This window comes from Homo sapiens, chromosome 1 (assembly GCF_000001405.40).
Source record: "Homo sapiens chromosome 1, GRCh38.p14 Primary Assembly".
Lineage (NCBI taxonomy): Eukaryota > Metazoa > Chordata > Mammalia > Primates > Hominidae > Homo > Homo sapiens.
Window position 1 is genome coordinate 101773795 of NC_000001.11, and position 15480 is coordinate 101789274.

The 15480-nt window shown below is 35.8% G+C and overlaps 1 long non-coding RNA gene and 1 pseudogene across 4 annotated transcripts in view; one reads left to right on the top strand and one right to left on the bottom strand.

The window, feature by feature from the left end:
* LINC01709 (long intergenic non-protein coding RNA 1709) overlaps positions 1-13775 on the top strand; it is a 147996-nt gene extending 134221 nt beyond the window's left edge. For 2 of the 4 annotated variants that reach the window (NR_183476.1, NR_183475.1), the window contains 4 exons: positions 307-455; positions 11130-11237; positions 11799-11935; positions 13406-13775. This is a non-coding gene — a long non-coding RNA (long intergenic non-protein coding RNA 1709). Of the gene's footprint in view, positions 1-306; positions 456-11129; positions 11238-11798; positions 11936-12810; positions 12923-13316 lie in introns of all 4 variants that reach the window. The other 2 variants (NR_183473.1, NR_183474.1) reach the window with 2 other exon arrangements.
* Positions 12472-13504, bottom strand: RPSAP19 (ribosomal protein SA pseudogene 19; annotated as a pseudogene).
* Positions 13776-15480: the final 1705 nt, after the last annotated feature.

A 15480-nucleotide genomic window follows, 5' to 3' on the forward strand; every position in this document is an offset into this window, starting at 1 on the left:
GCAGGAGAAACTTTGCTACTTGAGATTTTTTGAGGCTCAAATGAAGTGAGAGTATTTTCTAAATAACCAAAAAACATAAATTTCAGTTTTTCCAGCTATGCTCCATTTATAAAATGTAAAAATTCTGAATAGCTGCTTTTATTTTCTACTTAATGTTCTAAGGAGAGACACACTTATAGTCAAGTGTCAAGTCAGACATCAATCAGCCTATAATTATTTTATATGTATTGACTAGCTAATGTTCCTTAAGTCCCTTCTTATTCATTGCATGATTTAACATTGCTCTTTTTTATATAATTAAAATAGAATTCACTATGGAGCTCATACAACTACCACCTTCAGCTATTAATCAAGGAGTCATTCAACTGAGAAAGGGGAGATTGAGATGTTGAATCATTTCTCATTCTGTGAAGTCTACCAGAATAACCCATAAAGCAAATATCAACCTATTTCAAGTGAGTTGTGCAAGAAAATTATTTAGAATAAAATGATAGTTTGTTTTTTCAATTCACACATGTCTTGAAAACTGGCTTGGGTGTGACAACAGCATTTCACATGACACTTTCTATAGGTTAAAACATCAAAACAATTTGCCATAAATTTGTTATTTGTTGCTGTAATACTTATTGTTGAAGAGCAGAAGAAATAATTGTGCACACTGCCTCAGCCAAGACCTTACTCATGGCTTCTCAATTTACTCATATGTAAATTAGCATAAGAAATAAATGAGAAAATGAAAATTTCTGTTGACTTTTACTTAGATCAGGAAATAGTAAAGTTTTTCTCTTACAGAGCCATGTAGAAAATATTCTAGGCTATGATTGGTCTCTGTTACAGTCACTTGGCTCTGCCATGGAAGGGAGGCAGCAACAGATAAAATGTAACAAACGGGTGTGCCTGTTTCGGTGAAACATTATGCATAAAAACAGGTGGTGGGAGGATTTGGCCTCTAGGCTGTAATTTGCTAATCTTTTACTTAATTCAACAACCTACCTCTGGGAAAAGTATGGAAAATAAGAATCAGAGTTTTAGAAACATACGGAATTTTAGAGGTTCTGTGGCATTCCCCCATTCATTTTAAGTGAGAAAACTGAGGCCAAAAATAAATAAGTGAATTGCCTGGAGCATCACAGGTACGCAGTCACGGAAAAAGAATCCTGGTCTCCCAGGTCATTGTTCTGGCAGGATTGTTGCCTTGGTTGCCCAGAGAATTGCAGAGGAAAAATGACCTACCTGGGAGTGTGGAAGGACACTTTTTTGGTAGCCTGGTGGTGCATCTTTCTGTATGTCAATATATGCAAATATATGCTAATTCAAATGGGATATTTGGCAAGCCTTAGGGATCCCCATTTAGCTGCTACTAAGGAAGTTATCCCCAAAGAATACAAACTAGAATAAAATTGTTCCAAAGCCTGATTAACTTTTTGTGGTCTGTGTAGAGCTGCCTGCTCATTTCTCCACTTCCCTGAACTGGGTCTCCTCTGTGGTCATCTCTTCATTTTTTGCAAAGATCACCAGGCAAATATACTCAGACTCCTCCTTTTCATATAAGCAGGAGCCCTGGCTCACTCTGGCTTTGTCGACCATGGTGCCAGACAGATGCTGGAGATCCTTTTAAACTGAAATTTTTCGTGTTTGGTGATAGACTGGAGTTGAGTGATTTTAACTTGGAGTGAGTTCTGGAGATTAAAGCAGGTGGTTGACTTTGGAACCAGACTTCTTTCAGAGTAGGAGACTAAAACTGGGAGCAACTTTCCTGCAATTTGTTTTTGCAAAGAAAGTGCTTTGAAAATACCAAAAGCAAACTCACAGTTTTGTACATTAGAATATGAACATTAGGTAGAAATTCTTTTAAGAGGATTAATAAACATTGCTCTGATGAAGATGATGATAATAATAACAAGAAATTATAGAGGGCTTACTACATGACATAAACAATTCTAAGTCTTTTCACATGTATTAAATAATTTATATTATATTATGTTCTGTATAAAACCCCTCCAGAGCTCTCCATTATATAGAGAATAATTCCAGAATCCTTAGCATCTAGATCAATACTCTCCCACATACTTTTTAGTACTTTCAATATTCTCCTGCATGTATCATATGCCTTAGACATTTGGTGCTACTTGCTATTTTTTAAAAGCTTTTTGTTATCTTCTCTGGACTAGACACTGCTTAGGTGCTGGGAATACAGAAAACAGAATTCCCTTTTTACTTTTGGGAAGCTTACTCCCTAACTGGGGAAATGGCGTTCAGCTAGTTCTAGATTCTATAAACCTAACTGGAAGGAGGGGGCGTTAATAAAGCCTTTGTTGAACCCCCAACTAGTTAACTAGTTAATCACATAACTATGTTTATTGCATATTTTTATCCTCTCATTCAAATATTAGATTCCATTTATTACTTGAGTGCTTTCCAAGGTACTGTTGAATAGAAAAATATACAGTAGAAAAATATCAGTTTCTTTAGCTTATCTACATTTAGAAAAAGGAGAAATAAGTTTCTCTAGAGAAGCTATTATAAATGTAGGGGGAAAAAAAAGCCCAGGGTTGGTTATTTGCATAAAGGAAAAGAGAACAATCAGAATAAAAATACAGTAAAAAAAGAAAAAGGTCAATATCTTGAAGGTCAAGATGTTGAAAAGGGTCAAAGAGAATGAGGACTGAGAAAAGGCCCTTTAATTTGTCAAGAAGGAGATTACCAAGAATGCATATTTAGTAAAGTGGTAGTAATAGAAGCCAAATTTCTAGTGGCTAAAAAGAAAACAAGTAAGCAGGGTCTAAAAAGTAATCAGGTAAATGCTTTGCATTGAATGGAATTACCTCAATCGTAGCTTTAGAAGCAACAGAAGCTTGAGAAGTCTAGATTTTTAGAATATTTAGTTACCTGTGTTATCCATTGGAAGAGATCTATAGGCTTTATTTATATTAATGTTTCTATATGAAGGATTTTTATTTTTAAAATTTCTTACATTGATAATGTTGAAGATATGAGGGTCAACAGAAAGTGTATGTTTAAGAAAATGAATCCTGCTAGACTCTTTGAAATCACCTTGAAACTTTGGCTAGTGATCTAAAACCAGCTGTCTTTAGGGATATGCAAGAGCTGGAAGCAGTTTACAGAAAACATAGAAAAAACGATGGGATTATTTTGAAGGACCACTCTGCCTTCTTTTTTTTAGTGTTAATATACCAATAATTCTTTGGATGAAATTTTGGTTACAAATATAATTGTTTTTAAAAAATTATGTTCTTGCTCTATTTTTAGTTACCCTAACTAAAAAAGGGTTAACCCTAACCCTTTTTTAGTTACCAAACACAGAGAATAGCAAGTTTCAAACAGTACCACCTCTCGAATTAGAGCATTTTTGTCCTATGTAATCATAGTCTGACTTAGAAGGCAGTGCTGGAATTCTGGTTGAATATTTCTTTCTCTTCTATTCTCCCAATTTTGGTAGAAGTAAATTAAAATATAGCTCACAAGCAACAATCTATTTGGTAGCAGGGCTACCCTTGTATTTCAAAACATTGGGAAGGGGAGTTTACTTGACATGTTTGACTAATAGTGAAAAAAAGTTGGCCTTCAGATGTCTGAATAGTTGAGGAAAAAAGCAGCCATTTGGTATATTGTCTTTTTAGCTGCTTAGATGTCCAAAGAATCTTGTGTGACTAATGAATAGGTGCCCTGAAAGTTTACTCATTGTTAGACCCTGTAGTCTACCGCAGTGGTTTCTAGCCTTTCGGATCTGAAGAATTTATAACTTTTTTTAAAAAGTCGGCACAATTATACTGCATGGTCAATATACTGTATTAGCAAGACTTGGGCACAGCTGATGTTTTTGCTTAACTCAAAATTATTCACTTTTTATCTGGTAACAGCACTCTGATTTTTTTAGAGGATCCAGCTCTTCCTCCTTTTTACTCCATGTTGTTCGTAAGGATCTGATTCTATCTCTGGGCTTAGGTATGGACATTTAGACCATTAAACCCTCTGGCTACAATGGTTTGTTCAGGGTTGGTTATATTATCTACCCATATCCAGTAAGAGTTTTGTTGAACTATTAGGAAAAGTTTTCTTTCCACTACTAGGATTAGAAATAAGGATGATGTAAACCTGACTCCTATGAGATCATTATGTCAAATTTGAGGATAAAGCCCTTTAAAAAGCAAAGTAGAGCCAATAAATGGAGAGAGACCAAGTCCTGAAAACGTCAATTGAATCATAGATGTAGACATATTTGCAACTATGACAATGAATTTTTTTCATTACATGAGTCAATAAATTCTCTTTTAGTTTAAGCCAGTTTGGGTTAGGTTTTAAACATGTGCAACTGAGACTAATATACCAAGAAAGACCATTTAGAAATGCAAATAACGGCCATCGTTTATCATAAGCATTTGTTTATTTTTATTTTTAAAAATTGTTAAAATTTTCGTGGGTACAAACTAGCTGTATATATTTATGAGGTACATAAGATGTTTCAATACAAACATGCAATGTGAAATAAGTGCATCATGGGGATTGGGGTATCCCTTCACTCAAGCATTTATCCTTTGAGTTACAAACAATCCAATTACACACTTTAAGTTCTTTTTAAATCAAGTTATTGTTGACTATAGTCACCCTGTTGTGTTATCAAATAGTAGGTCTTATCCATTATTTCTAACCATTTTTTTTTGTACCCATTAACCATCTCCAGCTGTCTCCCAGGCCCCTACTACCCTTCCTGGCCTCTGGTTATGGTCTTTCTACTCTCTGTGTCCATGAGTTCAATTGTTTTGAATTTTAGATCCCACAAATAAGTGAGAACATGTGATGTTTGTCTTTCTATTCCTGGCTTATTTCACTCAGCATAATGATCTCCAGTTCCATATTGTTGCAAATAACTGGATCTCATTTTTTTAATGGATGAATAATATTCCATTGTGTATATGTAACACATTTTCTTTATCCATTCATCTGTTGATGGACACTTAGGTTGCTTCCAAATCTTAGCTCTTGTAAATAGTGTACAAAAAATATAGGAGTGCAGATATTTCTTTGATATACGGATTTCCTTTCTTTAGAGTGTATACCCAGCAGTGGGATTACTGAATCATATAGTAGCTCTATTTTCAGGTTTTTGAGGAACCTCCAAAGAGTTCCCCATAGTGGTTGTACTAATTTATGTTCCCACCAACAGCACACAAGGGTTCCCTTTTCTCCACATTCTCTCCAGCATTTGTTATTGCTGTCTTTTGGATATAAGCCATTTTAACTGGGGTGAGATGATATTTCATTGCAGTTTTGATTTGCATTTCTCTGGTGATTAATGATATTGAGCACTTTTTCATATGCCTGTTTGCCATTTATATGTCTTCTTTTGAGAAATGTCTATTTAAACCATTTGCCCATTATTTGATCAGAGTCTAATAAGATTTTTCCTGTAAACTTGTTTGAGCTCCTTATATATTCTGGTTAACAATCCCTTGTCAGATGGGTAGTTTGCAAATATTTTCTCTTATTCCGTGGATTGTCTCTTCATTTTGTTGATTGTATTCTTTGCTTCACAGAAGCTTTTTAAGTTGGTATAATCTCATTTGTCTATTTTTGGTTTGGTCGCCTGTGCTTGTGGAGCATTACTCAAGAAATCTTTGCCCAGACAAATGTCCTGGAGATTTTCCTCAATGTTTTCTTGGAGTTGTTTCATATCTTGAGGTCTTAGATTTAAGTCTTTAATCCATTTTGATTTGATTTTTGTATATGGTGAGAGATAGGGCTCTAGTATTATTCTTCTGCATATGGATATCCAGTTTTCCCAACACCATTTATTGAATATACTGTCATTTCTTCAGTGTATGTTCTTGGAACCTTTGTCAAAAATGAGTTCACTGTAGGTTTGTGGATTTGTTTATGGGATCTCTATTCTGTTTTATTGGTCCATGTGTCTGTTTTTATGCCAGTACCATGCTGTTTTGGTTTTTATAGCTCTGTAGCATAATTTGAAGTTAGGGAATGTGATACCTCCAGTTTTGTTCTTTTTGCTTAGGATAGCTTTGGATAAGGGTCTTTTGTGATTACATATAAATTTTAGGATTTTTTTTTTATTTCTGTGAAGAATGTCATTGGTATTTTGGTAAGTAGTTCATTGAATCTGTAGATTGCTTTGGGTAATATGGACATTTTAACAATATTGATTCTTTTAATCCATGAACATGAAATACTTTCCCATTTTTTGGTGTTCTCTTCAATGTCTTTCATCAGGGTTTTATAGTTTTCATTACAGAAGTCTTTCGTTTCTTTGGTTAATTTCTAGGTATTATCTAATTTTATGTGTGGCTACTATAAATGGGATTGCTTTTTAATTTCTTTTTCACATTGTTCACTGTTGGCATATAGAAATGCTACTGATTTTTGTATGTTGATTTTGTATCCTGAAAATTTACTAAATTTCTTTATCAGTTCTAATAGTTTTCCTGTAGAGTCTTTAGGTTTTACCAAATATAAGATCATATCATCTGCAAATAAGGATAATTTGACTTTTTTGTTTCCAATTTGGATGCTCTTTATAACTTTCTCTTGTCTGACATCATCATTTAATTTTAAAAAAGAACATCTTCATGAAAAAGAAAGAATAAAAGGCAATCCTTTGAAAAAGAAATAATTTAATTTTATAAAGTCATTGCATTTAACGTTCTTATTTCTTAACAGACAAGTGAAAACCTTATCAAAAGACAACAAGGAATGGCTGGTCCAATAGGACAGTGACTAAACTGAGGCTCAAAAGACAGCAGTTTGAGTTTCACTTCCACCAGTTAGTATTATAGATTATTAGGCAGTTACTTTGGTTCCTTGCATGAGTGACCCTTCAGTTTTTAACTGGAACAAATGATTCTTGCATACTGTCCCATATGCTAGTTATGAGAAGAACAGTACAAGCTAGTTTATATAAAAAGTTCAAAAGTTTAATGTCAATATAGCGCACAATTTATTAATTTCTTACCTGTGATTATGACTTGAGGGCTGGAGAAATTTTAGTTTAATCTCTGAATGACTTTGGTAAATTAAGCTGTATCTCTACATGTATGAGGAATCTTTGAAAGCTTAAAATATTTGTAACAGTCATTACAATATATGGTTTCAAATTTGCTAACATTTTGGGTACGATTTAACTCAAATATTATAAAATGCACACTCATTGAAAATGTTAGAGTTAAATTAAATAAAGTGATATTTTTCAAAAATGCTCACATTATGTGAAGAAATGAACATCCGTTTTATGGGCTAATTATGTGATGTGTAGCAAGCACTTTTTGTTCATAGTTCTGTTTTGAAGGATTGGTCAACGAGCCATATCATAAACACTGTTAAAATGGGACTCTTGTGCATGAATAAATCTGTGTTCTTTTCTGTACTCTCAGCAGATTTTCTTTTTTAAAAGACAGACTTGATTTTTAAATGAATTTTATGGCCAGAATGAAACAACTGACTTTAAATCATTTTAACAGGCAAAAAATCTGATTTAGTGAAGTCCAGGACTTCTTTACCAGGAGACTGTTCTCTTTGGCTTTGTTATTTCTAAAGTTCTGGACATTAAGCTGAGCTTCTGTGAATTAGCAGCCAAAGGAGAGAAGTATGGTTGTTTTTCTATAAAAAGAACCTGCTTCATAGTCAAGGATTTGCATCACATCTAATCACATTTGGCAGGAGAAAGAAGAAAAACCAGAATTCAGATAAAGCAACTGCTGACTGCTCTTGAGGCTACAAAACCCTGTCCTTCCCTAATCCTGCACGGGTGTGTGTCGATTTAAATGGTCTGTTCATTGGCAGCTTGCCATTCAGATGAGTGGTTCTTCTTCTCCTTTCAGTCTGCCTTTGAAGTTTCCTGTTGCAGGGACCAGAGGTAATAGGCCATTTTGCACAATTTATAGGAGCAAAGTGAAAGCAGCAATTTCTCCTTCAGAAAGCTACTGAAATGTCACCTGCAGTGAGCATATGTTTGGCAACAAGGTCAGGTACTTGGCGATTTAAACAGTTTGACCAAAACCAAAAGGCCACAGTGTTTTGAAGTGCTACAATTTCACTGGGGGCATTATGACTTGGCCCAAATATGTCAGCACCTTTTCAGGTTGGCAACTCTCAGTCAGGTTTGCACTATTTCATTTCAATATTGTCCTGAACTGACCTGATTATTAATTTTACCAATGCTGTATGCCTTCCATAGCTGTGGCTTTGCTAGATAAAATGGGTTTTGCTGCTTCTAGGCTTCAATGATAGTGTGATAGATAAAGCACATGGGCTCTGGAGCTAGACTATCTTGAGGTTCAAATCCCAATTCTGTTACTAATTAGCGTATGACTTTGGGAAATTTACCTACACTCTTTGTGCCTCAATTTCCTTCTATGTGAAGTTGGGGTAGCTACCTCAATTGTTTTTTGTGAGGATTAAGTAAACTATTGTAAGTAAAAGTGCCTAGCATATTTTAAGTACTTCATCAACATAAGTTATTATTATTATCATCATGGTTAAATTTTGATACTTTATTGAATCCTCTTATTTTTTGCTGATCCAGAAAAACTAATGATATCGCACAACTGAGTCTGGAATATTTACTGACTATATGTACTTTGTTCATATCACTATCATAAGTGCTGTTGATGAAGGAAAACCAGATGATTAGCTCTTAGATGACTTATGTCAATATCTGACATAGGGATAATTATGACAGAGAATAAAAACTGGTAGTTTTTAAGGGAACTTTGCCATTTATTTCGATTGAATTAGTTAAGTAAGCAAGCAAAGCATCCACAGCCCTTGGTGCTACAGTGAAGATACTGGGCAAAGCATTAGAGGGTCAAATAAATAGATTGGGAGTTCTTTTCCACAAAAGGACTTGAAGCTTGTAGAGATTTTGTGTCTCATCCCTGAGTATTTAGGTTTAAAATGAATACAACACCTGGCTCCAAAGACAGCGCTTGACACACAGTGAATATTTTTTCAAATAACTGTCCTTTCACTTTATGAAGCAATTTCACATACACCTTCTCATCCAGGGTTTCTCAGGCTCAGCACTATTGGCTATTTTAGGCTAGATGGTTCTGTGTTTTAGAAGACTGTTCTCTGCATGTAGAATGTGTAGCAGTATTCCTTGTCTCTACTAACTGGATCCACATTCCTCACTCCCCCCACCCCCAGTTATGGTAACCAAAAATGTCTCCAGACATTGTTAAACTTTATGAGGGTCAAAATTACCTCTACCTGAGATCCATGAATTCTCACTTGATCTTCAAACTTTTTTGTGTGGGGAATGATAGTATTAGGTTTCAAGTATATAGCTGAGAAAACAAAATTTCAAAGCATTTAAGTGACTTATGCAGTGTTCTCTGGCTAGTGACTGACAGAGTCAGCACTTGAACTTGGCAGGTTTTCTTGAATCCTAAGCCCTTCTTCTGACTTACATTACTGTACATGGCATAAAATCCAAGACTGAAGCAGGTGGAATTACAGGGTGAAATAGCATGCAAGGGCAGTTGGCTGATTCAGTTGGGCTGGTTAGAGTAGTGAGGACTCAGCAACTCTTCAGTTATGTTTCTGTTCTCCTGGCCATCTTTGAAATAACAACAAATGGCCACAGTGATAGTTTCTGGGGTTGAGTAAAACTCCCAAAAGGAACGTGCTGTTTACTTTATATTATAGAGCAACAAAGTGTCTATCTTATCTAAAGAAATGGAAAGAATAGCTTGGTCAAATTTTCCTAGCCATGGACACAGCTTATTGATATAGAAGGACATAATGATTTTGTTTATATTTGTGAGGGTCTAATTTAATTTCCTTTTCCTTTTTTTAAAGAATAATATATTCAAATCTTTCTTGAGGGGAAAAGTAGGAAAAAGAGCACCTGATGTCTAGAGTGTGCTTTAAATCATTCATGCAGACTGGCCTGTGAAATATAATTGCTGTTGCTTCCAGGCGGTTTTAGAGACACAAGAGATCTAAATTTTACCTAACTGTGAAAATAAATTAGGGCCTTTTCCAGATGATGCTCCCTGAACTATAAATCTCCTTTGCAGTTTCAAATTCTGTGTAAACAAATTGGCATTAAAATTCATTCAATAAGATAAGCTGGGCTAGCACAGGTGTAAGCAATGATCACTATTAATATGAAGAGGCCAGAGAGAAAGAGATAAAATGGAAGCAACAGAAAATGGAATGAGGGAGCTGGAAAGAATTTAGAGGACAACATGAAAATCAAGACATGAGAATGATTTATATGAAGAATTTAGTGAAAAAAAGAGAGATGAGAACTTTCCATCATAAATCAGATCTCTTTGTATGCATTGCAGTGAACATAAGGACACCCAAGACAGATTTTAGTTAAGAAAGTAGATATTGATGGAAAAGAGTTTGATGGTTTATCATTTCTTTCTAAAGAAAGAGTTTGATGGTTTATCACTTGTTTCTAAAGCTATTATTAATGTGATCAATGAAACATTTATTCCATGCAGGCCAAAATAAATGGATGTGAAGCAGATTGGACTCAAAGCATTGAAATCAAGACTTTGGCATTAACTAACTCTGTGTGTTTAGACAAAATGGAATCATCTTGAAGAACACAGATTATCAGGCCTTACCCTAGAGTTTCTTACTCAGTACCTCTGGTGTGAGAGCACAAAAACTGGCCTTTATAACAAGTCCTCATGTGATGCTGATGCTGTTAGACTGGAAGCCACGCTCGTGAACCATGGGTTTAGATATCACTGGGACCCTCATGGAGCCCATTTTCTCAGGCGTAGAATGTGACTGAAGACCACTTACCACCAAAGAATTTATCTGGGAGAAGTCCTTTTTAAAAGCATATACATATTTTTTTTAATATGTACACATTCTTAAAAGAATTATTTTCAGTTATAATCTAGGACCACTCCACTGATCTGACTACTTTATGAGAAACATAATCAGATTATTATAACATATGAAGACTGTCAGTGGTACATTCTAGTGTCACCCTGGATATTATATTATTGAAAGTAAATGGAATTATGGGATTTTTGGGGGGTGGGGAGTGACAGAATATTTGCTTTCATTACTTTTAGGATGCCCCATCTATAGCTATTCTTTCCTCTTGCTTTCTGGTATTCTTTTGACAGTTAGAAAAATGAAAAATACTGATACAGCAGACGAATTCTGGAACTAACACTTCCACAAATCATTGATAATCCATTTTCCAACTTCTTCAAATTCCAGACCATCAACAAGTAAGTACTATCTGTCTAATAGTGTCATGTTTTCTATTCATATTCTAGTTTATAAATCCAAATCCTTTTCAAATGTCTAATGATGTCCTCTAATTTAAAGAATGACTAAACTGAATTATATGGAGTTCTAAAGAACAAAATATTATTTAAAAAGTAGGGGTCATTTGAATACTTTATTACCCACTCCGTATTTCTGTATGTAGTTCCGTAAAAATGATGGGACACTTTAGACATTTAGGGAAATAAAATTATTATTTGTAATTTTGAAGGAATCTTTACATGTTTAAGCACTTTGAGTCACATCATGTCCTAGGCATTATACTAACTGTTGGAGAAACATTTAAATGAATAATTGATCTTAGTTTTTAAGAAGTTTACAATATATGAGGAAGACAACTTAAAAATAACTAAAATATAATACAATTGAAAGCTGCTGCAATAGGGGTATATACAAAATAGTATGAGATCATATAAAAGAGAGTAGAAAATGCAGTGCATTTAGAAAACTATTTTTAGAAAGAAACATCTCATGAATGACCTAAATTCTTTAAAATTATTTAGGCTATTCAAAACAATAAATGTTAATAGTTTTGGTGGAGTTAAGCAGCAGAAGTTAAAAGCATTGTGGAAGACAGTATGGTGATTCCTCAAGGATCTAGAAGCGGAAATACCATTTGACCCAGCAATCCCATTATTGGGTATGTACCCAAAGGATTATAAATCATTCTACTATAAAGACACATGCACACATATGCTTATTGCAGCACTATTTACAATAGCAAAGACTTGGAACTAACCCAAATGTCCATCAATGATAGACTGGATAAAGAAAATGTGGTACATATACACCATGTAATACTATGCAGCCATAAAAAGGAATGAGATCATTCCCTTTGCAGCGACATGGATGAAGCTGAAAGACATCATCCTCAGCAAACTAACACCAGAACAGAAAACCAAACACCACATATTCTCATTTATAAGTGGGAGTTGAACATTGAGAACACATGGACAAAGGGAGGGGAACAATATACATCAAGGCCTGTTGGGAGGTGGAGGGTGAGGTGGGGGAACTTAGAGGACGGGTCAATAGTTGCAGCAAACCACCATGGCACATGTATACCTATGGAACAAACCTGCACTTTCTGCACATGTATTTCTGCACATGTATCCCGTGTTCTTTTTTTTTTTTTTTTTGAAATACAGAAAAAAAATTGCCAGTAACTTTTTTTTTTTTTAGAAACTGATGTTTATTTTCCATCAACCATTTTTCCATGCTGCTTAAGAGCCTATGCAAGAACAGCTTAAGACCAGTCAGTGGTTGCTCCTACCCATTCAGTGGCCTGAGCAGTGGGAGCTGCAGACCAGTCTTCCGTGGCAGGCTGAGCGCTCCAGTCTTCAGTAGGGAATTGCTGAATAGGCACAGAGGGCACCTGTACACCTTCAGACCAGTCTGCAACCTCAGGCTGAGTAGCAGTGAACTCAGGAGCTGGAGCAGTCCATTCACCCTGAAATTCCTCCTTGGTCACTGCCTTCTCAGCAGCAGCCTGCTCTTCTTTTTCAATCTCTTCAGGATCTCTGTCGAAGTACAGATCAGGCATGACCTCCCATGGGTGTTCACGGGAAATGGTGCCACACATGCGCAGAACTTCCCGAGCCAGCATCCACCACATCAAACCCACTGAGTGAGTTCCCTTGTTGTTGCATGGGATGGCAATGTCCACATAGCACAGAGGAGAATCTGTGTTACACAGCGCAATGGTAGGTAGGTTAACATAAGATGCCTCTGTGAGAGGCTGGTGGTCAGCCCTGGGGTCAGTAACCACAACAAGCCGTGGCTCCCGGAAGGCTGCCTGGATCCGGTTAGTGAAGGTTCCAGGAGTGAAGCGGCCAGCAATTGGAGTGGCTCCAGTGGCAGCAGCAAATTTCAGCACAGCCCTCTGGCCAGTATTCCTGGAGGATATAACACTGACATCAGCAGGGTTTTCAATGGCAACAATAGCACGACCTGCCAGCAGAAGCTTCTCCCAGGTCCTCTTCAGATTTATGATATAGATGCCATCACTTTTCCTTTTATAGATGTACTGTTCCATCTGGAAGTCAAGATTGGTGCCACCTAAGTGGGTTCCTGCTGCAAGGAACTTAAGGACATCCTCCTTCATTTGCAGGACATCAAGGGCTCCGGACATTGTGAAAGTTTCCCTTTAAGTTACGACGGGAATCCAGAACAACGCCGTATGGACCCCTCTGCAGGTAGCAAGGAAAAGCGCCAGTAACTTTTAAAGGCTTGTTTTGCATATTATTCAGGCCTAAATCACGGTTCTCATAAATTGATTATCATGTCCCTTTCATCTGTCCATTTATGCTTCTAAATGGTTCTTAATGGTTCACTATATTTGAAGGCCATAACCATTTGCTGATGAGTTACTAGTTTAATTTGTCACTATTTCTCCAATACATATATGTAAGTGCTTATCGTCTTTTAATCCTAGATATTCTTCTGGAAGTAATAATAAAAGTTGAAAGCTGGAAGGAAAATAAGTTTAAATGGTGTTCTTGAGATTATATAGTGTCACTGAATGTCAGAGCTAGGACTAAATTTCAGATATTTTGATTTATAATATGATTAATAATATGAATAAAATTTTTGCCACATGACATTACTTGCTTTTGAAAGTTGAAATGGAGCTATGTTTTGAACATACTGAAAGAGAAATAGGCTTCAAATGAAGAGTTTCCCAGGCCTGGAGTGGCAGTTGTGTTGATGAACGGGGGTGAGTGGCAGAGCAGATTGAAAAGTGGAACTTGAATTAGCAATTAGCAGAGGACCATGGAATTTGCCTTCTTTTAAAGTAATAAAGACTTCTAAAAATTTTTGAATACATGCCACTTTTAGAGTGTTAAATTATGTCTTTTCTGATCAGGGTCATCCTTGCGTGTGAGAGTCCCTAAACATAGCAATGGGCCGTTTTCTTCTGCTTAATTGACTGAGACAAAAATTAGTTATTATAGACCAAATTGTTACTTCCCAAAATGTAAATGTTGAAGTCTTACTCCCTCCCTATTGTGACTGTATTTGAAGATAGAGATTGTAGGGAGTTAATTAAGGTTAAATAAAGTGAGATTCTAACCCAATGGGATTGGTGTCCTCTTAAGATAAGGAAGAGACAACAAACATCCCTCTCTCTCTGCAAACGTAGAGGGAAGGTCGTGTGAGAACGCAGCAAGTCAGCAGCCATTTGCACGATAGGAAGAGAGGCCTCTCCAGAAAGCAACCTTGCTGGCACCTTGACCTTGGACTTCTAGCCTCTCGAACTGTGAGAAAATAAATTTCCATTCTTTAAGCCACAAAATCTGTGGTATTCTGTTGCAGCCCAAGCTGACTAATACATTACTTAACGTGAAGAAATAGTATATCTTTATTTTATTCATTTGATCTCACTGGTCTCAACATCTCTAGAATATTATGTGATTAGCTGAGACTAGATGGACTTTTCTAAAAATATTATGCTTTGAGAGGGATGCTAGGCTCCTTGGTTGAAAGGTAAGAAAGCAATGGTAAGAAATTGACTTATGACAAAATTAAGATAATTCTATATAGTGATTTAATATAATGATAAACTTTTGCCCTTGACAATGTCTGCATATTCATCCCCTGGATAATGAATACTTCCTGCTATATTTTAACTTTATTTGCTCAATATATTCCTTAAATTCATGTACAGCATGTACTGTGACTAATACAAACAGAGCAGCCATGAGATCCATTTCATTAAGAAAAGATTAGGTAGAGATTTTGAAAATTTCCTATGAAACTTTGAAGCACAATTCACTCCTTAATTAAAAGCAAACAGCTTTGCTTTTTGGGATTAGGCTACCTAATTATACAAAAAAGAGAGAATATGTTGATAGAAAATGTTTGACTGAAAAGGGAAGAAAATATTACCAGAATTTGCTGCAAACGAATACCATTCCAGAAAGTAAGATACAAAAATGAAAATCTAAAACATTTTTGTAAATTCTATGCTTCAGTTTTCCCCAACTAATGAAGAATTAAAATCCTGCACTGCTCCAACCGCAAGCAGAAGTTAAGCCAATGGTACTGAGAGATTGTCAATCTATACTATAGAGAACAATCTTTCTGAGATTGGAGCATTTATTCTGACCTCCCTACTAATTCACAGTGTAACCACAGGCAAGTTAGTTAATCTTTCTGTGACTTCATTTAAACCTTTGTCAAATG